The sequence below is a fragment of the Homo sapiens genome, chromosome 1, assembly GCF_000001405.40.
Source record: "Homo sapiens chromosome 1, GRCh38.p14 Primary Assembly".
NCBI lineage: Eukaryota > Metazoa > Chordata > Mammalia > Primates > Hominidae > Homo > Homo sapiens.
Genome location: NC_000001.11, coordinates 41467574 through 41489587, shown reverse-complemented (window position 1 = coordinate 41489587; position 22014 = coordinate 41467574). Strand labels below are relative to the sequence as shown.

Below are 22014 nucleotides of genomic sequence, written 5' to 3'. Positions count from 1 at the left end.
GATGGACGGGTGGATGGGTGGATTGATGGATAGATGGGTAGGTAGGTGAATAGATGGGAGGATCATTGGATAGGCATGGTATAGATTGTTGGTCCCATAGCAGACAAGCATAAGGGGAAAAGTTCTTGCCTAGGGCTCTCTGCCTGCTGAGAGCAGGGAAGTGTGCCCTGGAGAAGAGTTGCTGTGAGGCGGGAGGGCTCCCCAAGGGCTGGGTGTCAGGAAAGCACACTGGGGACACGTAGGCTCAGGGCCGGGCTTTGGAGCTACACTGACTTGCTTTCTAACCTTGGCTCTGCCACTTCCTAGCTGTCTGACATGGGGCAAGTCACCCTCTCTGAGCCTCGTTTCTTCATTTATAAAACAGGGACTCATTATAGTAACTACCCCACAGGTATGTTGTGACAGTTCACGAAGCTAATATACCTAAATCACTTAGCACAGGGCTCAGAATATATTCAATGCTCAATAAATGCTTATTTATCCTCTATTCCTAAAAGGCTAAGTGGGGAATCTGGCCCTTAGCCCATTAGAGGTAACTCAAAGCCTTGGAGTCCAGAGATTTCCATCCTAGATGCTGAGTCCTGAGTTAGTTTCCTCATTTCAAAAAGTCCAGGAGGACTTACATGGCCTCTTAACAAGAGTGTCTTGACTGAACCATGTTTGCTTTTGGCTGAAATTCCAGCAGTTTCATAGGCCTGGCTGACCCTGCTCTGATTACCCTTAGACTGATAACAAAGAGAGCACATGAATTATTCTTTTGAAAGTACAGTTTATGTGGGAGATATAAATCTTTCCAAATGGGCTGAGACAGAGGGAAGAGGACCAAGGGTGTCCTCCAAGGGAAGCCATGGAGACCAGGGGAGCCGGCCCCGCAGGCTGAGGCTGCCCTTGCAAAGACCCAGTTTGAGGACAGTGGTGTGGGTAGTGGCTGGTCCTACTGGCTCAGGGTGAGCTATGGCTGATGGCAGGAAGCCCAGACCACCCACCAGAAAGAGGCCCTGAGGCTGAGTGGCCCCAGGCCTGAGTGGGGGCAGCCCGACCCACAGCATTTGGGACAAGTGGTGATGGGAATGTTTGAGTCTCCTGAGTCCCTAAGCCCCAGCCCAGGCGGCTCCAGGGCCAAACCCTCCCCAACCCCCAGCCCCTGCAAGCTCCTGTCATCTCCCCCGGCCAGCCCCTCTTCCCAGCTGCTCGCTCTGCTAGGCCGTCTGCACAGTGTGTGCCTGCAGCAAAGACACTGTGTCCCTTCTACTGGGGCTGCAAACAGAACTTCCCAAAACCCGGTGGGGCCAGGTGTCGATGGGGAAATGACTGGTTTTGCACAGGTGAAGGAGCAGAAGGGCTCAAGCTGCAAGAGCCATGCTGCTGGAGTCTCCTGGGCCTCCTTCTGGGGAGCTCTAAACTCAGGTCAGCTTGATCCTGAATGTCACAGGCAGTCAGAGGTGAAAGCATCTCTCGCCATCAATGGGAAGGCGGGACACCTGAGGCCAGGGAGAGGAGCCCTAGGCCACATGTCATGAAAAGCAGAGCTGGGACAAAGCTTCCTGGTCCAGGGCCTCGATTGCAATCCCAGGCACCTGCTGCAGCCCAGCCCTGTTGTGTCAGGCATCACTAGGAGACTTAGTCTTCACTCCCATGCAACCTCCATTCAGCTCAGTGTCCACAGCTGCTGGACAGCTGCTTGACGGGACCATATTTGCTCTTAGAGCTGGGACTATAGAGGGAGCTTTGGGGTGCACAGAGAGACAGCCTAACCTCATCCCAATGCCCCAGCCTTCCTGCCAGTGGGGTCCTTCCTGACGGCCTTTCTCCAAGGGACCCAGGATCCTGGGCTCAGTTTGGACCCCTGGGAGAGCTTCACGGGTGTACAGGAAAGGGTGAGGCAGGTTAGGAACCAAGAGAACACACCCAGCCCCATCAGTGTCTTGAGCCAGTTGCTCCTCCTCTTGCACCTCAGTTATCTCATCTACCAAATGGGAGTGGAGACGGGGATTTCTAGGGGGAAGTTTCTAGCCCAGTGTCTGACTCAGAAATACACTCAACTGCTCTCTTCTGCCAGCCCTCCCTCCCCATACATCCCTCTTTCTTGGATTGGGCTGCTGCAAGCATAAGGGAAACAAATCGCTTAGCGAGTAAAGCAATTCTCTTCAAATTCTGAGAGGGTGACCTTCGGTGGCTCCCTGCCCTTCCCCCTGCAGCCTCAACAAACTCGGGCAGGTGCCAGGGCCAGAGAAGTGGGGCCAGGGGGTCGTGAAGCCAGGCCACCTAGAAAGGACAGGGACAGTGAGGCCAGGACAGTTATAGGTGGCAGGGTCATGCAGTCCGACCAGCCACGAGGGGCAGAGGCAACGGACAGAGGCCCAGGCTAAGCGACCCAGGGAGATGGGGCTATTTTTAACTCAGCTTAATTTTCCCTACCTGGAAACTAACTCTTGTCAGTGGAGCAGCGCTGTTCCGGGAATGGCTTCATCCCCTAAGATCTGTGCTCGCTTAGGTTCCTGGGCCAGTCCTCTCCATTTCACAGGAGCCCTGCTTGTTCAGCTCAGGCAGAGGGCAGAGAAGGAGAGAAACCGGAGCCCGGCCCAGCTCGCAGCTGGCTGTGCTGACCCTGCGGGGCTCGGGCAGCAGCCCCTGCCTTGTAGTCACCCTTCTTTCACACCCGGGAGGGATCCTGTCTCTGGGTTCATTTAATGCTTCTATTATGTTTCCCCGGCTCGGAGCCTCTGGTTCCCTATTGTCTTGAGCAGGCGTTTTGCATTTGTGTAAAGATTAGACGCTTTATAACCTTCCCTCTTCTCCCTATGGTTTCCCTCTTTTACTTTCTCAAATCTGAGTTCTTTCTTTCTGGCTACGCACTGCTTCCTCATTCTCCCCCTCTCTCCCTGCCTGTCTTTATCTGCCTCCCTGTTTGTTTTCCTCCCCACCGTGACCCCCTCCGTCTCCCCGCTGACCTGCTTTTCCTTCTTTCTTCTCTTCACGGTCCAGCGATTTGAATTCTCTATCCACCCCCAAGCAGCCCCCAGCCCTGCTTAATTCCGTATTCATATTCTTGCAGAGGCTGATAGAAATGACTGTGAGTATTGCTCACCTCATTCCAGAAATACTCTTCTAAATTCTTCGAGAGGCACGACGTGGGAGGGCAGAGAGCACCTCACGGGGAGTCCCTTGTGCTTTGCTTGATAGACCAAGCCACCTGCCCGCTGGGTGGCCTTGACCAGGCCCTGCTCCTCTCTGAGCCTCGTGGGCAGTCCTGAGCTGACTCCCCTGTGATAATAGCTGCCTCCTGGGGTTGTGGTGAGGAAGAGTCGATAGTGCTCCAAGCACGTAGTAGGTGCTCAGGAAACATTTGTTTGTTTTTTTCACAGGAGCCAGCTCAGTCTCCAGGAAGGAAGATCCTGCTCTCACCCTCCATCAGTTCTGCCAGTTTCTCCAGGATTTCACACATGCACGCTTGCTCTGGGCACACCCTAGGAAGATGCAAACTTGCCTGTTCCTGGTGGTCACCTACTGTCCCCTTCATAAATGTCCAAGGACAAAGGAGCTGCTGAATACAGGAACTGAGCATTGGGCATCCTGGGTTCTGTAAGTGGAAAGCCAGGTGTGCATCTCTTGACCCCCCTGCCCTCAGGAAGCACTCGCAAGGCCCCTACTGTGTGCAGGGTAGGTGTCAGGCCCTGCCTCCTCTGGGGCTCTGGACCTTGAGATTGCAGGGGAGATAAGTGCAATGGGATGAGTCAGGCAGGCACGAGAGGCACAGGCCCTGGGAATTCCAAGAAACGAGAGGGCCTTTCCTGTTGTGCCTGGAGACAGGGTCCCTGAGAAGACTCCAGCAGGAAGTGGACTCTCAGCCAGGGCAGGAACAGAGGGTGCCTGCCGGTTCCCTGAGCTGCTCAGCACAGCTGTGGTTCATCCCTGCTTTCCCCTCCCCGGCAAGGCTTCTGGGCCAGCAGAGGGGCAGGAGCAGAATGCCAGTCCCCAGAGAAGTCCCCTGGCTTACTTCTTTTGCAGACAGTAGCCCCCGGTGGAAGCCAAGACATCCTGTCATGGCCAGGACAGGAGACTGTTCAAGGGGCGCTTTGTGTGTGTGTCCTCAGGGACATCTTTCTGGAAAGGGGTCTGAAGCCACCTTCTTAGTCTCAAAGGAGCCTGTAAGCCAAGCAGGTGAAGTACCTTCTTGTTTTGGCCTTGTTTGCAAACAAGGAAACAGGCCCAGGAAGGATGCCCTTGGCCATGGCTGCATAGCTGAACAGCTTCTGGAAGGGACTAGAACTCCTGCCCCAGGCCCTGGGGTGACAGGGCAGGGGTTGAGGGGGGCATTTCCTGGGTGAGGTGGGGATGAAGCAGTTCCAGGCTGGTCAGAAGTCAGGCATGAGCTGTGTCCTTCACAGAGGGAGGCAGGCCCAGAGAGGGCTCTGACTCGCCCAAGGCCACACAGCCTTGCGTGGGCCTTTCACATCCCACACAACAGAGGGGCATCCTCAGCCTGGTTGGCAGAGGGCAGGCAGGATAGATGGCAGAGTCTTCTCCGAGGAGAGGGGTTTTGCTCATGGAACCTCCTCCTCCACACTCACAGCCCTGGGCGAGACCTGTGGAGCAGCCGCCAACAGAGTGAGGGAGGGGGCTCGGGGCAGCTGGGGGTGACTTGAGGAAGTCCAGCTGGACTGCGAGGGGCCCCTGGGGACTGCCAGGGAGCCTCAGGACTCCCAGAGGTGCTCCAGGCACAGAGGGAGGAATGGGCCTTCCATCTCCCTCCCCCCTTCACTGCAGAGGCTGGGTCGGGCCAGGCGCCCGGGGAGGAGGCGGTGTCCCTGGCTCCCAGCCCGCCGGTGCAGCGGGGCAGGGCTGGACCAGAAGGGGTGGGGCACCGTGCCTGGTATAAGAGGCAGCCAGGGCACCGAGGCAATGAGCTATCTGCTCAGCTTAATAGCAGGACGCTGGCAACAGGCACTCCCTGCTCCAGTCCAGCCTGCGCGCTCCACCGCCGCTATGGTCTCCGTGCCTACCACCTGGTGCTCCGTTGCGCTAGCCCTGCTCGTGGCCCTGCATGAAGGTGAGCTGCCCTGGCCTCACCTGCTGCCTACAGCTCCTGGGTCTGCCTATCTCTGTCTCCCTCTAGGGCTGCAGTGCCTCCCAAGCCAGCTGGGGGCAGACAGGGGCGGGAGCCTGGCGGCAGTGGTGGCAGGGGAAAGGTTCTGCAAATACAGAGGTGCCCAGGCTCCCCACGGGCTGCTGGGACTTCCCTGGGCTGGCCTGGAGCTCTTGAGCAGCAAGAGTGCCAACTCCCTCGATTATGCAAGAGGAGGGGCATGGTGGGTCCCCCACTCTGGGATGTGCCAGGCACCCCAACCCACCTCTCCACCTCTCTCTCCCTCCTGTGCATGCAGGGAAGGGCCAGGCTGCTGCCACCCTGGAGCAGCCAGCGTCCTCATCTCATGCCCAAGGCACCCACCTTCGGCTTCGCCGTTGCTCCTGCAGCTCCTGGCTCGACAAGGAGTGCGTCTACTTCTGCCACTTGGACATCATCTGGGTGAACACTCCTGAGTGAGCATCCATGGGGATTGGGGGCAGGGGGAGCTCTGGGGCAGGGTGTCAGGGTGGAAGCTACTGGCATGCTAGGGAACGTTGACACATTCCATCTCTCCCTGGGCCTCCAGATGGAGGCACTGGCTAATATCAATAGTTAATTGTTTCAATTCCTGAGTGGGGACCACCTGAGCCATAGAGAGGGCTGTCTTCTGAGAATTCTTAAGACAGCCTGGTAAGCAAGTGTTGGCCCCGTTTTCCAGATTCAAGTGCTGAGGCTCAGAGAGCTTAAGCGCCTCCCCCAAGATCACACAGGTAATTGTAAGGGTAGGCACCATCCTCGGTTGGGGAATGCCGGAGCTCACAGTCTCTGTCATGCTGCCTCTGCATGCTCTTCCAATAATAATACGATTAGTGACAGCACCCGTGCTTTGACTATGCCAGGCTCTTTGCCAAGCACTGCACGTGCATGATCATCTCAGGAGCCCCCCCATCCTCCCCATAAGGCAGGATAGTCCCTCAAACGACAGATGAGAACCTGCCCTGTGCTACTGGCTACACCCGGGTGGGAGCCCCGTGCTGTCTGTTCCGCCTGCACCCGCACTGCCTCCAGGCCACTGCATACCTTCAGTTGAAGTTTCTGTGTGTGTTTGTGATTTTTTCCCCTCCCCAAATTGCAAAAGGCAAGAGAAGCCCTGCACGTAAGCGTGTGTGAAGCTAATCCGCATCCAAACACTTGCTTAGGGCGGGAACCCTGCCAGTCCCTGCGTGCTGAGTCTACCTGGAGTCACTGCGACTCCAACCACACCATCTAAAATTAGCTCTGTCACTCGAAAGTGCTGGTCTAGCCAGCCACAGGGCCCCTGCCATTCCCCTGGCCCGCTTGATCAGACTCTGAATCTGAAATTAATCCCATCTGAACACACACACACACACACACCCCACTTTCAAGTCAAGCCTCTAAGGCACATGTGTTACCCCTCCAGGCAAGTGGGGACCAGATGGGGGCAGCTTAGCTATGAGCCTGTGTTTACTTCTGTGAGATGGAGTGGCCGCCCTTCCTCCAGAGCTAGCTGAGAGCCTTCTTTGAGAACAGGGGGACCAGCCTGTCTGAGAGGGGAGAGAGACTAGGAGGTTCCCAATTCCCAACTTCAGGTAGGATCACAGATTTCCTTGCCCCCATGCTGGGAGCTCTCAGTGAGCCAAGCCAGGCCCAGAGAAGGGGAGGGTCTTGCCAAGGGCTACCAGGACCCTTGTGGAGTAGCCTGTGACTTCAGTGGTGTGACTTCTTGAGGTCAAGGGCTGGTCACCTTTCATTGGCACCCTGCTGGCATGGGTGGCTGTCCCAGTGGGCAGTGTGGACAGTCCCTGCTTGCCAATGGTTGTGGTTTATTTAATCCTCTCTCTCTTTATTTTTTTCTCTCTCTCTCTTTCTCTCCACCCCACACCACTACCTTGCTGGCTGCCCGCCCACAGACAGACAGCTCCTTACGGCCTGGGAAACCCGCCAAGACGCCGGCGCCGCTCCCTGCCAAGGCGCTGTCAGTGCTCCAGTGCCAGGGACCCCGCCTGTGCCACCTTCTGCCTTCGAAGGCCCTGGTAGGTGGGCACCCAGCCTGCAGGGGCATAGGGTAGCTGCAAGCCCGGGCATGCCCTGGGGAGCAGGTGTCTGGGAGACTAGCAGAGGAGCGAACTGGCAAGTTGGGGGTGAGAAGCGACCCAGGGGCCCACAGGCTGCTTTGGGTCCATGGCACCATCCCTTCTTGCAGGAACCAGTCACCCATGGGGGCCTCCCGGTGCCCAGCTCTGGGGGCTTCTGGGAACACTCATGTCCTCACTCCTGGGCAGGAGAGAGTCTGCCAGTGACAGCTGAGGCAGCTCAGGCCCAGAGAGGGGGCAGGACACGTCAGGCTGCATAGCTTGTCAGAAGGAGGGCCAGGCCTTGGGCCTGAGTCTGTCTGATCGAGTCCTACTGGGCTTTGGATTCCGACCTGAGGTTCAGGGGGACTTTGGAGCTTGCTCGGGGAAGAAATGGCATCTGGAGTTGGGAAGCCATGTCACCATCCCAGGGTGGCCCCAGAGTTGCTGGGGAGCCTTTGCCATGTCTCCTATCTTACCTGAGCCTAAGTTTTCCCATCTGTAAAGTGGTGGGAGGCTTTGTTCCTTCCCTCACCCACATGGAGAATTTGGGAAAACCAAACTGGCTTCAAAGTCCCAAGCTTCCGGCCGCGCACGGTGGCTCACACCTGTAATCCCAGCACTTTGGGAGTCCGAGGCGGGTGGATCACCTGAGGTCAGGAGTTCAAGACCAACCTGGACAACATGGTGAAACCCTGTCTCTACTAAAAATATAAAAAAATTGCTGGGCATGGTGGCGGGCGCCTGTAATCTCAACTACTCCGAAGGCTGAGGCAGGAGAATCGGTTGAACCTGGGAGGCAGATGCTGCAGTGAGCCGAGATCGCGCCATTGCACTCCCGCCTGGGCAACAAGAGTGAAACTCAGTCTCAAAAAAAAAAAAAATCCCAAGCTCCAGTTCCCATGATGGTTTACGAGAAACTCCTCCTCTGGGTCTCAAGCTGAGGCCCCGCCCCTGCCTCAGTTTCCCCTGCAGCTGCAGGTGGCCAGATTCTGGGAAGGCCAAAAAAGCTGCCTCTTTCTGGGGCTAAGAACACATTCCTGGTAGCTCAGTTTTCCTCAGTCCCCACCCCACCTGGAAAGGGAAAGATGCCAGGTGCACAGGGGTGGAAATGGATCTGCTCCCGCAGGCAGGTGGGGATGGGGAAGGGGTGGGGGCTGGGCTGGGCCTGCAGCCAGGTAGCTTCAGGGCCCTGGGCAGTCCATCACTTGGGCCCTAATGCTATTCACGTAGGACTGAAGCCGGGGCAGTCCCAAGCCGGAAGTCCCCTGCAGACGTGTTCCAGACTGGCAAGACAGGGGCCACTACAGGAGAGCTTCTCCAAAGGCTGAGGTGAGGGCGTGGGACACATGCACAGACTGAGCACCTCCTGTATGCCTTGCACATTTCCCATATTTTCTATGTGAGGCAGGCCTGGGTCCTCATTGGGCAGCAAAGAGAACTGAGGCTCAGAGAGGGAAAGCCACTTGCCCAAAGTCACACAGCAGTCAGCGGCATCTGGCTGACCCCAGAGTCTGTGCTCTTACCCACTGTGCTCTTTGTTACCACTAGGCCTGGAAGTGGACTTTTTAGAGGGTTTGAAGGCTCATGACTGGGAAGGACCACAGTTGTTCGTTCAGGCTGTGCTGAATGGAGCATCTCACACATGCTGGGGTCCAGAGGGGCCAACTGCCCAGCCTGCTCCCTCTCTGCTGCCCAGATTGCATCTCCTCCCTGGTGCCTCAGTGTGAGTCAGACCTGGCCCCCAGGAGGTGCCCACGAATGCTTGTTCAACCAAACCAACTCAAGAACAGACACTTGCACCTGCCGGGCAGCAGAGTGGCTGTAGGGGCAGCCTCTGGGGCAGACTGCTTGATCTGAACCCCAGCCCAGCCTGGTACAAGCTTTGTGACCTTGGGTTTGCCCCTCAACTTCACTGTGCCTCTAGTTCCTATGATTTGAACAGGAGAAACAGGGAAATTGTGCCATCCATCCCCGCCTGGGGTTGCTGTGAGGTCAGATGAGTGGACGCACATGAAGTGTGTAGACCAGGGTCTGTGCCCGTGGGAGCTGTGGAGGGGTTTGCCATTCCCACTTCTGTCACTGAGGGTTCCTCACAGCTGGCCAGGTCCCAGGGCCCAGCTCAGCCCTTCAGAGATTCTCACCTTTTGGGGGCGGCAGAAAAACAGGAGAAAAGGCAGGATGGTGGGATGGACGGGACCCAACATATACTTAGGAACTTTCTGAGAATGAAAAATATGAGTACAAGACTTTTCAAAAGCGCACACTTCATAGTGTGCAGAGCTGGCTCGGCCAACCTTGTACTCATTCTCAGCAGTTCAGGCCTGTTTTTGTTTTACAAGCTAAGAAAGGGGATCAGAGAGGCTGAGATTGTTGCCCAAGTTTCCTTAGCTAGGAACTGAAGCCAGCCTCCTGGCTCCCAGTTTAGAGTTCTTTGAGCCAGGATGTGGCCACCCAGCCAGGTTCAAAGGGCAGCGGGGTGCCCTGTTTTCTGGGCTGGACTACCTTGAACTGGACCTCGAAGAATGAGTAGAATTGTAGCAGGTGGCTTCTGGGTGAGGGGAATACACACAGCCTGGAGGGAAGAGCAGGAGCAAAGGTGTGGAAAGCTGTGGAAAGAAGTGGGAAGGCAGATGACGGGAGACCCACAGGGCTGTGCTTGGCTGTCCACTCATTCTGGCAGCATTTGATGTTGAACCTTAGCTCTGTCAAAGCCCCCATGTGCAGAGAAGCTTCAACGCCTGGGCTGGCCTGCGCTGGTTGTGCAGACCTTGTTTTCAGGCTGTGGTCACTGTCTGACCCCAGGGCCGCTGTGACCCCAGGATCTGGGCAAGGGCTGTAGCCCCATTGCCCCTGCTCTCATGGGGAGCTCTTGGACAGTCCATATCTCCTGAGATGCTAAGTTGACCCTTCTTGATTCCCAGGGACATTTCCACAGTCAAGAGCCTCTTTGCCAAGCGACAACAGGAGGCCATGCGGGAGCCTCGGTCCACACATTCCAGGTGGAGGAAGAGATAGTGTCGTGAGCTGGAGGAACATTGGGAAGGAAGCCCGCGGGGAGAGAGGAGGAGAGAAGTGGCCAGGGCTTGTGGACTCTCTGCCTGCTTCCTGGACCGGGGCCTTGGTCCCAGACAGCTGGACCCATTTGCCAGGATTGGCACAAGCTCCCTGGTGAGGGAGCCTCGTCCAAGGCAGTTCTGTGTCCTCGCACTGCCCAGGGAAGCCCTCGGCCTCCAGACTGCGGAGCAGCCTCCAGTGCTGGCTGCTGGCCCACAGCTCTGCTGGAAGAACTGCATGGGGAGTACATTCATCTGGAGGCTGCGTCCTGAGGAGTGTCCTGTCTGCTGGGCTACAAACCAGGAGCAACCGTGCAGCCACGAACACGCATGCCTCAGCCAGCCCTGGAGGCTGGATGGCTCCCCTGAGGCTGGCATCCTGGCTGGCTGTGTCCTCTCCAGCTTTCCCTCCCCAGAGTTCTTGCACCCTCATTCCCTCGGGACCCTCCCAGTGAGAAGGGCCTGCTCTGCTTTTCCTGTCTGTATATAACTTATTTGCCCTAAGAACTTTGAGAATCCCAATTATTTATTTTAATGTATTTTTTAGACCCTCTATTTACCTGCGAACTTGTGTTTATAATAAATGAGGAAACATACTCTGGTTTTTTGTCTTGGCCAAGGCAGGGTGTTGGAGGCTTCTCTCAAGAAGGGGCCGCTTGGAAGTTGGAGGACACAAGAAGGAAAGGGCTGGGGCAGGTGGCTAGAGCGCTGGGTTCCACTCCCACCCTTGCTGGGTGTCTCTGGCTGCTAGCCTGCCCTCTCTGGGCTTTTGTCTGTCATGTGCCTCGACAGCCACCTGCAGCTGTGACGTCAGGATTCCAGGAGCTATGTTCTCATCAGGCCAGTAATCAACGGCCATCCCTTTTCCAGGAGCGTGTGTGGAAGAAGCCAAGACACGAGGGTGGAGGGACTCATCGCCCCAGCGGCTCTGTCCCAGCAGAGGCTGACAGTAAGGCTCAGAGCAAAGCTGTCCAGCGAGGGAGAAGACCAGGTGAACCCCAAGGCTGTGGGTGCCCCACTGGTCAGTGAGGGGTGCTGTGATGGAGCCACAGCTTGGCCCTGGCTTGGCCCCTCACCTTGGGCTTTGGACATGATAAATACTTGCTGATTGAATTCATGAGTCACCACTGCAGTATGATGTTGAACAAATCTCTTTCAGTTTCTGAACCTCAGTTTTCTTCATCTAGAAAATGGGAAGCAATTGTCCCCACGTCGCAGAGTTGCTGTGGGCACTAAGCAGAGAAGTGATGGTACCAGGCTCAGCCCAAGGCCTGACAAGAGGCAGAGGCTGCTTGTGGGGCTGGCAATGGTGATTATGGAATGAGTGGGACGGGGACAGAACTAAGGGGCCTGATGGGGGGGCAAGATGGGGGCTAGCTGGGGTGGAGGTGGGTGGTCATAGGAAGAGTCTGGACAAAGGTGCTACTCTTGTGGCCTCAAAAGATATGCAAAATAAATAGAAAGACTCAAAAGAGGCCAGGGGTGGCAACTCACGACTATAATCCCAGCACTTTAAGAGGCCAAGGTGGGAGGATGACTTGACTCCAGCAGTTCAAGACCAGCCTGGGCAATATAGGGAGACCCTGTATCTACAAAAAAAAAAAAATGTTTTTAATTAGCTGGGTGAGGTGGTGCACACCTGTGGTCCCAGCTACTCAGGAGGCTGAGGCCAGAGGATTGCTTGAGCCCAGGAGCTCGAGGCTACAGTGAACTATGGTCGTGCCACTGCACTGCAGCCTGGGCACCACAGGGAGGACCTGGCTTAAAAGAAAAAGAAAAAGAAACACTCAAATGACTTGAATACATAGAAAGAAAATAGGGAGGGAATTCCAGGCAGAGGGAGCGGGGAGGATGAAAGTATGGAAGTGGGAGTAACAAAGAAGCTTCCTTAGGAGGGGCCTCAGGTGTCTGGACCATGGCAAGGGGGCAGCAGCAGGACACAAAGCCAGAGAGGCCTTGAAGGTCAAGGTTAGGAGCCTCGACTTCCCCTTGTGGGCCACAGGAAGCCACAAAGCTCTGTGAGCAGCAGGGGACCTCGGCAGAGCTGAGCTTTGGAAATATGCCACAGAGGGCTGGCCAGAGCTGAGTGAATGAGGAGACCAGTGGCAGAGAAGCAGTCATCATAAGTCCTTAGGGATCCTCCGCGCATCCTGGTGATGAGGCTGGTGTCACGGGGTCAGCCCAGGCACTTGTTGCCTACTCCAGCCCAGGGCCAGAGCGCACCTCTCACGTTTCAGCTGAGCTTGATGCCAGGGGAGCCTCGCTCCCTGGGAGTGCATCACAGGCTCCCATTCAACATGACCCTGCCCCTGAAAAACTCAAATGCAACAGCCCATGGCCAGGCCAGGCAGCTGGGTAAGGCAGCCTTAGGGCCGCAGCTATGACAGAGGCCTGGCAGCAGCATGAGGAAAACCTGGCGGAGGGTGTGTTGGAGGGAAGCATTCACCGCCCTTGGCACAGGCCCCGGGGACCCTGGCCAGGGTTCAGAGATCAGTGACCCAGATGATTGAGCAACAGAGATGATTAAAGTAGTAGAGGAGGCCCAGAAGGCAGGGACAGGTAAGGGTGACACTACAGTCCTTTAGACCCATACACCTTGGAAACAGGGGCCTCTGGCTGGGGCCCTGCACTGCAGGGGGGCCCTGTTCTGGCCCTCATCCAGCCATACCTCTCTATGGGACAAAAAGTTTGCAGGGCCACAGGGCCACATATGTCCGAAGTCTGTCCTTGCTTCCAGCCCACACTCCAGGTAGTTGGGACTTCAGCCATGTTGGGGAAGGTGGGCTAGAGTTTGGAAAGAAGTAGAGAAAAAGCTACAAGGAGCAGCTACCAGGTCAAACCGAACCCTGGGAAGAAGGCATCTAAGCTTCAGGAAACTTGGGTTTTCTGGGACAAAATCTCCCCTCCTCCTGCCTTTTCCATAAATATAGAACAAGCGTTTTTCAAGGCTTTTTGAGTCAAATTTGTGTTCCTTTTAACTGGAACACTAGGCAGAGACAGGCCAGAAGGGGGCACAGGATGACCCAGATTTATTCGGATTATGTGGACAGGAGGAAGCTGAGGCAGAGAGCAGTTAGGTCCTGTGTCCAGGGCTGTGAGGCTGCAGACGGGGCCCTTCGCAGCCTCTCCACAGCCCTCACTCAGGAAAGAGCCCTGTGGAATTCTCTCTCTCTCTCTTTCTCTCATTGAAAATAGAGTCCAGGTAGCTAAGTCTTCAGTTCAGAAAAGTCATTTGCCTAATCACGGTGACAAACTATTGGAATGTGGCCATCCATTAATTCAACAGTTATGAATAATCACCCCTGGGAGGACTCTCGTGAGCAAGACAGACACAGTTCCTGCCTCATAGGCCAAGAGGACAGTCATTCAAGAAAACAACAGTTAAATATGAAGATAAGAATCGCAGCAAACATTCACTGAGCACTTACTAAGTGCTTTCCACATATTAACTCCTTGGTTCCTTACAGCAACCTTATGTAGCAAATTCTGTCATTACTATTTCCATTTGATAGGAAAGGTTACTGAGGCACAGAGCGGTTAGTAACTTGCTCAAAATCATATAGCTAGGATGTGGCTTAGCTGGGTTTTAAACCCCAGGCTCTTAACTTCCGTGCTATCCTACCTCTCTAATAGGGTATGTCCACACTGTGATGGAGCCCCTGAGGAGGGGGAGCCCAGGGTGGCTTCCTGGAGATGGGGACATCTAGGCCAACTCGGGGGAAGTCGGTCAAGGAAGAGGGTGGAGAAGAGCATTCCAGGCAGAGGAAACAGCATAGGTGAAGGTTCCTGTCTTCATAGGAAGGGAGCTATTCCCAGCCTCTTTTGGGGAGTAAAAGGAGAGGTCCTGGGAACGGCTGGAAGGGGCAGGCAGGAAGGGGCAGTGCATGCCTGAGCACCAGACCAAGCCCCGAGCATCTGGCATGGGGGTGCTCTAGGAAGCAGAGGCCACCACCTCTTTCACCCCCACCACAGCCTCAGAAAATGCCTCCCTGGAAAATACTACCATGCCCAGCATGCCCTCCATGAGGGCTTCAGGCCTCTGGAAACCTCTCTGGCTGCCCGCTCAGGTCTCACAGCCTGGCAGGGAAGACAGACAAGAGCAAAACGAAGGTCCAGAGGTGGAGCTGGCCTTGTAGCTGGTGGGATGGGGGGTGAAGGACTGGCAAGGCTTGTGCAGGCTGGGATGAGGGAAAGGGCTTGGTGGGAATGGTGTAAGGCAGATCTGGCCAGGGCATGAGAGAGTCCAGGGAGGGGCAGCAGGCCTGATCAGCAGGGGCCAGGCTGGGAATAGCATCCGATGCCAGGAATTTGAACTTGAGTGATAGGTAGCCAGCGAAGGTTGCTAAACGAGGGAGAGCCAGGACGGGAGCTGGCCTTGGGTGGCTGGTTTATTGTTGGCTCCTTCCCGGCCAATGCTTCCAGCTCACAAGGGCCCTCCCAGCCCCTCTCAGGGGAGAGCAGAGTGTGGGCCTCGCCTTGGCCTGCCAGGGATCCAAGCCAAAAGCCCTCGGCAGCTAAGAAGGGGGCCGTGTGCGGGCCCGCCAGGAGCCCTGGAAGAGGAATGCAGCCTAATTAATTCTCTGCAGCTCACAGGGCCTCGCCTTGTGGGAGCAGCTGCCAGGACAGGCCTGCCAGGATGCCACTGGCCCAGCCTGTCGATCACTTGGTGCTGAAAGCAGCGAGGGGGACTGCAGGCTGGGAACTGGGGGACGGGGACTCGGGGGGCCAGCCCCTGCCTCCAGGCACACACGTGTCCTCCAGTCCCTTCACAGCTAATAAAACAGTCATAGTAACTGTAATAGCCAACAGGCCTTGAGGCTGTCAGAGCACCAGACTCTGCCAGTACACTGAGTACTAGTGAGAACATTGCATTCACTTTTCTTACAAGAAGTAAGATAAGTGTTGCTCTCATCTCCATCTTGCAGATGAGGAAACTGAGGCTCAGAGAAGCGAATTTCCCTGCCCAGGGTCATGCAGTTAGAAAGCAAAAGCAGGGAAGCTGGGATGTGGACCCAGGCAATCTGGGCCCCCAGACTGTATTAATCATAACCACCATGCTAGACTGGTTCAGCAAGGGAAACTGAGGCCCTGGGGAGGCGGGGTGTCTTTCTCAAGGACAATTGGCTTAAAAAGGGCCTGGGGACACTGGCTGGATGGGGAAAGGCCATGCCCCTGGCCTCTGCTTGAATTGCCTCCTCCTGAAGTTTCCTTCCCTGGCCTGCAGGTCCCCCTGAGGGATGTCTGGCTCACTACCTCCAGGCGAGGCAGGCTGTGGAAAGTGATCCTGTCTCTGGGGTCTCTACCTATTTGGTCCTAGTTCCACTGCCTGGGGCCTGTCACAGAAGCACAGTACCAACATTACCCAAGGAGTCTCAGGCTAGTCTGCACATGCTCAGAGAATCCTTCTGCAACGCTATGACTCCCTCCACAGGCAGGACACTGAGGCCAGCAGAGGCTCAGAGTGGTGCAGGAAGGTGCTGGACCAAGACCTTGCCACTAGAAAGTGGCAGAGCCTAGGCGGGCTCCAGAATAGCCTGATGCCAAGACCCTGCCCTTCCCTGACAGCAGACCGGAAGGAGGGGCAGAACATCCATGTCATGCTGCCTCTCCGAGCCTCAGTTTCCTCATCTGCCATATGGGGATGAGGAGCCCAAGGTTACAGGATTGTCCTCGGGTTCATTAATAACAGCCAACACTAAAGGCACTTAGTAGATGTCAGATACTGTCCTAAGTACTTTATTTAATTTTTTTTAATTTCCAAAACCAAAATTTTATTCATAGCTACATAATACATCATGATACAGCTGCCCCATAAAATACCATATGTGGGCATGTATTACCCTGTAGGTGTATATTTAAGTTTGTCCAATTTCCCACTGAAGAAGATCAGAACGTGCCACCCCAAATATGCCACTTTTGCATCAGGATTGTTTTGAGCTAAAGGCAATTAAGAAACTGCACGTGTAGAAAGAGCTCTTTGCCCTCCCACATCTGCCCAAAAGCGGGACATAAATTTTCCTTTGGGAAGATTCTTCTCCTTCCCTCTCTTATAGCAGGAAGAGAACAACCGTTAGTTAGCACTGAAGACAAAAAGTCAGTAAGAAGACGAGTCTGCACAAACCAATCTTGCTGAAATCACCCTGATCTTCCATTAATTTCCCCACATATTTATCTTCCCACAATTTGCCACCCCTAGGAACACAAAGCCCTTTTCCTTTATCTTGTCATTTCTCCACAAATGTATCATCCTTTGTTAAAATGGTAGGGGGCTTATATACCATTTTAACAAAGGGTCTTCACTTCTTTTCTATGAATGCAATCAATGCCTTCATGTACATCACAATTAAAGTAGGAACATCAAATAAAATCTGTATGCCTTTTCTCCTGTTCATTAGTCTTTTGTCAGTTTAATTTGCAAGCCCCAGTCACAGTCTATAAAAGGATACAGGAAAACAATTTTTTTCCTCCCCTACACCACCAATAAAATAACACTGTGTGGTACACTTGTACATAAATTTTTCTATTTATTCCCTATTTATTGTTTGGCTACATTTTAAAATTGAGATATAATTTATACACTATAACATTCACCCTTTCAAGGCACACAATTCAGTGGATTTTAATCCTCACTTAACATCGTTGATAGGTTCTAAGGGACTGTGACATCAAGCGAAATGTTTTTCTCATCAATGTAACGACAAAACTCCATTGAAGGAAACATTATTCGAGGATCTACTCTACATTTCTTTCCCGCTAAAGTCACCATTTCCAAGAACCTATCAACAACGTTACGTGTGGATTTATTGTTTTCACAGAGTTATACAAGGATCACCACTGTCTCGTTCCAGAACATTTTCACCACCCCAAAAGGAAATCCCTTACCCGTTAGCAGTCACTCCCTTTACCCTACTACCCCGCTCCCAAGCCCTAGGCAACCACTAATCTACGTCTACCTCTATAAATTCACCGACTCTGGACATTTCATATAAATGAAATCATACCAGATGCGGCCTTTTGTGTCTGTCTTCTCTCACATACCGCAATACTTTCAAGGTTTATCCATGTTGTAGCATGTATCAGTACTCCATTCCTTTTTATGGCTGAATAATATTTCATCTTAGCACCAGATCATATTTTGTTCATTCATCTGTTAATAGACATCTGGGTTCTTTCTACTTGAAACCTCAATGACCCTATGGGAGGTTCTATTAGTGTCCTATAGACAAAAGACTGAGATCTGGAGAGGTTAAGTAACCCACCAAGGTCAGTTAGCTAGTGAGTAGCAGTGGTGAGATTTGCCCCAGGAGTCTGGCTCTGGAGATGATGGCCTTAACCACTGTACCATACTGCCTCCTCAGTCAAAGTAACACAGTGTATGGAGGTCAGCACAAAAGGAGGCACTCGGTGGGCACTTAGCAAAGCGTGGCACTTCTCCACAGCATTTCTACAAGTGGCAGAGCCAGAGGCTGCCAGGCAGGACCCTAAGCTAGGACAAGGATGTCAGGACAAGTGATAAAGAATTGCCATCTCAGCACACAGGTGATTCTCCTAGGAAGGGGACATCCGTTCACACCCAGGTGGGCCTGCTCCCTCCACTGAGCATCATTGGCCTGCATCCCAGACCTCATCCCTCCACCAATTCCTACCTAGGAAGCCGTGGCTGCTCCTTTCTGGGCCCCAACGCCCTGCCACCGGGCAGCAGAGGTAGATCTTTGGGTGAGGTTAAGGTCTGAGCTGCAGTCCTAGTCAGCACAACACAAAGCATGATCTTGGGCAGGTCTCTGCCTCCTCTGGGCCTTCATCAATTAAATAATGGGACGAGAATGCTTAATACTTTCTATTTAATTATAAGGGTGACATAATATATGAACAAAAGCTGCTGCTAAAAATATGCAAAGAATATAGGAATACCTGGGTTAAAAAGAAAGTCTCAGCTGGGCGCGGTGGCTCACGCCTGTTATCCCAGCACTTGGGGGGGCCAAGGCAGGCTGATCACAAAGTCAGGAGCTTGAGACCAGCCTGGCCGACATAGTGCAACCCCGTCTCTACTAAAAATACAAAAAAAATTAGCCAGGTGTGGTGGCACAAGCTTGTAGTCCCAGCGACTCGGGAAGCTGAGGCGGGGAATCGCTTGAACTCAGGAGGCAGAGGTTGCAGTGAGCCCAGATGGTGCCACTGCACTCCAACCTGAGCAACAAGAGCGAAACTCAGTCTCAAATAAAAGAAATAAAGTCTCCTTGCCTTGTCAGCCCAAAAGTAGAATATGTAGCCCTTTTCTATGGATTCAGGTATGTATTTTATATCTAACTTTTTAGACGTGTTTTAAAATAATAAATGGAAACATAAATCTTACGCTTCTGCGACCTGCTTTCTTCACACCACAGAGCTCGTTCTGGCCCAGTACATACGGCTCCATCTCAGCGTTTGTTTCAACAGCTCCATGGTGGTCCACAGTGCACACAAACTGTTGTTTGTTTTAACTATTTGCCTACTGATGCCATTTGGATGGACTTCATTTACTGTTTTTACAAACATGCTGCGGTAAACACCTGTTTATACATCTTTGTCCAGAAAAGACAGATTGTTAGAGGTAAATCACTGGGTCAGAGGACACCACATATTAAATATCCTGCCAGAAATGGGGCTCTTGTTTGCACTCCTACCACCACTTGGGGATAAATGCCCATTTCCTTTCGGCCTTTCCAGCATTGGGTTTTATCAATCTCTTATTTGTTGATCTAAGGAGGAAAGCATTTATTAACATGGAATCCTGATGTGTAAAAGATCAACCTGGTTGGATTCTGGTTGGAGGGAGTGAGGGGCATGGAGTCCTATTCCATCTTGAGTTGGTACAGAGGATCCCTCTATCCCTCTAGCTTTCCAGCGCTGGTATCTAGGATCTGCTTGGCTGCAGGTCTGTCCCTCTGTGGCTGATGTTAGCTCTCAGCCCCTCTGTCTCTCAGTCCTTCCCTCCAGGGCAGCTTGGGCATGGAGGAGGGACTGGCCTGTCTTCCTTGTCAGCTGACCCCACCTCCCATAATAAACATGCCTTTTAACAGGGACCTTTTGGGGACAACATCTTCATCTGAAAGCATGTGCAATGAGGGGACTTTAGGGTATCTGAGCCTGCAGGTGTTTTGAAGGCAGGGAGCATGGTGTGTCCTGGTTGCCTCTCAGCCTGTAGTCCAAACTGGCTTGTTGCAGAAGGCTGGAATTCAGTCTCACCTCTGCCTAGGCCTTGCTGTGTAGACCCAGGCAGGTCCTTGTCCCCTATGGGTTCCAAGTTCCCACCTCAGCTGCAAGACTGGGGACATTCCTTCCAGGGAGTAGGTGCAGAATCTGTCCCTCTAAAGTCTCTTCACATGCCACACACAATAATTACTCTCAGAGTGAGAGGAGGGCTCCTCCTGGGAGGTGGCAGATGAGGGCAGGGGAGGGGCGGAGAGGGCAAAGGAAGGAAGTGCACCCATGCCCCCTCAGGGCCTGAAATCTGAAACTCCTTCCCTACCACCTTGCACGGTAGTGTCCCAACTGGCTAATATGAGATTGTACTTGTGCACATACGAGCCATTCATGTGTGAGCACACATGCGCATAGGAGTGGCCTGTGTGTAAAATGAGTTCCTGTACATGCAGCTGGTGATCTTTCTGCATGTCTAGAGGCGTGTGGGTTTGTGTCTCATGTGATGGGTACACATGCACAACCCACATATGTGTATTTCCTATTGCATGTGTATGTGTGTCCATATTGACATGTACATGTGAGTGTCGTCAATGTGCATGTCTTTGCCTGATTATGGCTGCACAGATGTGTGTGCATGGGTGAGGATGCATGCGCACCTGTGGGATGTGCATGAAAGGCCATGATTGCTGGTGTGTGGATGCACGTGAGTGACATGAACCCACACACCAGGGAGGGTGTCTGAGTATGTGTAAGGGCACATGCGTGATGTATATATAAGTGTAGATTGGGGTGTGCATTGGGGCATGCACCCAAGCACGTGGATCCAGAGGTGTTTGAGTACACGTGTGGACCTAACTATGTATGGCAATACTGCCCCATGACTCTCAGCAGATGTGAATACACACAAGCATGCATTTGCATAGGTGAGTGAGGGACGCCCCCGAGAGGACACCTCAGGGTCTGTGAGACAGGACAACTCCTCCGGCCCCCATCTGCCCCTGGCCTGGACCTCTACTCACCCTGAGGAACAACACCACTGTATAAATTCTGAACATCTTGTTTTATTTACATGTAGATTCATTATTCTAGTAATTAGTAAGTCATTATAACTGTTATTTCTTTTAAAAAAAAAAAAACATGTCTATATCATAGACGTAAAATTCGGATGGCATTTGAATAAAAAGCATGGATTTCCCACCCCAACCTCCAGGGCATCTGGGAGAACCGTGCTGGATAAGCTCAAGCAGGGGTTAGGCAGGGAAGAGGAGGGAGGAGCCAGGGCAGAAAGCCTGGCCTCAGTTTCCTGGGCTGCCCAGCCCCCAGCTCCATCCTCACCTCCCGTGGCTCAAGGGAGGGTGGGAGAGGGATGTATCAGGCAAGCCCTGGCTGGGAATCAGGAGGCCGCAGGCCAGCCCTGCTCTGGTAGCAACCGGGCCAGGCTTGGCCGCTGCCTCACCTGCAGCATCTGGGATTTCTGTTGCACAGGAGCTCAAAACACAAGCTCCGCCATCTGCCCACCTTCCTCTACTCACCTCCCTCTGTCCCCAGAACCATCTCTACCCACCCCACCCCTGCCTTCACTGCCTCCTTGCCCCTCATAAACATCTACTCACCTGTCAAAGCCCACGCCCGTGTCACCAGCTGGCCACATACTCGTCTAACTTCCCAATTGGACTGTGAACTCTTGAGGGTAAGGACAGGCTCAGGGCACTCCTGGGTCTCCACAGCCCACTCTAGCCTGGCATGCCTTAGATAGCAGTCACTATTAGATTTTTTTTAATGAAAGATAAAGAAGGAAAAGAAGGGAGGGTGAGGGCTCTGTGGACGGCAATGTTTGGTACAAACAGCAGGTCATTGGGTGCCCCCAGACCAGGTGAGTCAGCCTGGCCCTTGCCCCGGAGGAGGGCAGACAGAGTATCATTTATCAACCTCCTCCCGTGCAGGCAGCACCCAGGCTGTTTACAGGCCTTATCGCTTTTGATCCTTACCTGACACCTGCAGGAAAGCAGTATTTCACTCCCATTTTCTAGAAACTAACCCTCGGAGAAGACGAGTCAGCAGCTGCCTGAGATTCAAGCTCTCCAAGGCCTTCTTCAGGTTCTCTCTGCTGCAGGCTCTCCCTCTCCTTTACGGAGCCTCACCCACATCCCCTTGGCACTAAGCAGGTATCTGTGATTCTGCCCTAAGGACTCCTGAAAGCTCTCAGAGGTCAGAGTTTGTGGGCTCAGGAACCGCCCTTGGTGATGGATAAGTGATCTGTGTTGGTGGATAAATGCCCCAGCTTCTTCCCTCCCCAGAATGGACAGCTCTGAGCCTTGCTCTGCACCATCTCCTGTCTCCCAGAGGTCCCAAGTGGGCAGGGCCCCGGTTGCCTGCCAGCTGCTCATGAACTTGCCTATACTGGCTTCCTTCCCTGTCTCACTTCCCACATCCCTCGTGGCTTCCTGGAATCACCTCTCAAATGAACTCCTTGCCCTCAAATCCTAGTTCTGGTCTGTTTCCAGGGACCCCCAACCCAAGACAGAGGAGCAGCAGGTGCAGAGACTATGTGTGCCTGAGCAGCCAAGAAAACCTTGGTCCAAAAGGGCCCCTGTCTCAGAGAGGACATGGGACT

General features: G+C 53.6%; 1 protein-coding gene across 5 annotated transcripts, besides 4 other annotated features; it reads left to right on the top strand.

Annotated features, from left to right (window-relative positions):
- Positions 1912-2161: an enhancer, noted in NCBI's record as "active region_866". NCBI's record gives its function as "activates an Ori minimal core promoter by ATAC-STARR-seq in GM12878 lymphoblastoid cells {active_cell/tissue: GM12878}" and the evidence as "EXISTENCE:reporter gene assay evidence [ECO:0000049][PMID:35858748]".
- Positions 2599-3798: an enhancer, noted in NCBI's record as "P300/CBP strongly-dependent group 1 enhancer chr1:41951461-41952660 (GRCh37/hg19 assembly coordinates)". NCBI's record gives its function as "activates an origin of replication core promoter dependent on BRD2, BRD4, P300/CBP, MED14 and CDK7 cofactors, with strong dependence on P300/CBP, by STARR-seq in HCT116 cells {active_cell/tissue: HCT116}" and the evidence as "EXISTENCE:reporter gene assay evidence [ECO:0000049][PMID:35650434]".
- Positions 4905-10813, top strand: EDN2 (endothelin 2). Of its 5 annotated transcripts, XR_001737015.2 has the most exons (6): positions 4905-5050; positions 5385-5541; positions 7000-7122; positions 8395-8493; positions 8713-8887; positions 10086-10813. XR_001737015.2 is itself a non-coding variant. In NM_001956.5 (5 exons), exons 1-5 carry the CDS (start codon positions 4987-4989, stop codon positions 10177-10179), a joined length of 537 nt encoding a protein of 178 aa, NP_001947.1. In that variant the 5' UTR covers positions 4905-4986; the 3' UTR covers positions 10180-10813. The 5 variants fall into 5 exon arrangements, 3 of the variants coding, with proteins under 3 accessions (NP_001947.1, NP_001289198.1, XP_016856001.2); NR_126098.2 differs by lacking the exon at positions 8713-8887 and having other exon boundaries at positions 5476-5541; NM_001956.5 differs by lacking the exon at positions 8713-8887.
- Positions 6647-7633: an enhancer, noted in NCBI's record as "H3K4me1 hESC enhancer chr1:41947626-41948612 (GRCh37/hg19 assembly coordinates)". NCBI's record gives its function as "activates a minimal SCP1, AML or CMV promoter by ChIP-STARR-seq in naive and primed H9 embryonic stem cells {active_cell/tissue: H9 hESC(naive and primed)}" and the evidence as "EXISTENCE:reporter gene assay evidence [ECO:0000049][PMID:30033119]".
- Positions 11950-12656: an enhancer, noted in NCBI's record as "H3K27ac-H3K4me1 hESC enhancer chr1:41942603-41943309 (GRCh37/hg19 assembly coordinates)". NCBI's record gives its function as "activates a minimal SCP1, AML or CMV promoter by ChIP-STARR-seq in primed H9 embryonic stem cells {active_cell/tissue: H9 hESC(primed)}" and the evidence as "EXISTENCE:reporter gene assay evidence [ECO:0000049][PMID:30033119]".

What these genes read in the sequence shown, in the direction of transcription:
- EDN2 (NM_001956.5), top strand. Translation starts at nt 4,987, where the DNA reads ATGGTCTCCGTGCCTACCACCTGGTGCTCCGTTGCGCTAGCCCTGCTC. An exon ending in GCTCGTGGCCCTGCATGAAG is followed by an intron (nt 5,051 to 5,384) that starts GTGAGCTGCCCT and finishes CTGTGCATGCAG; the next exon opens with GGAAGGGCCAGGCTGCTGCC. An exon ending in GAGCTTCTCCAAAGGCTGAG is followed by an intron (nt 8,494 to 10,085) that starts GTGAGGGCGTGG and finishes CTTGATTCCCAG; the next exon opens with GGACATTTCCACAGTCAAGA.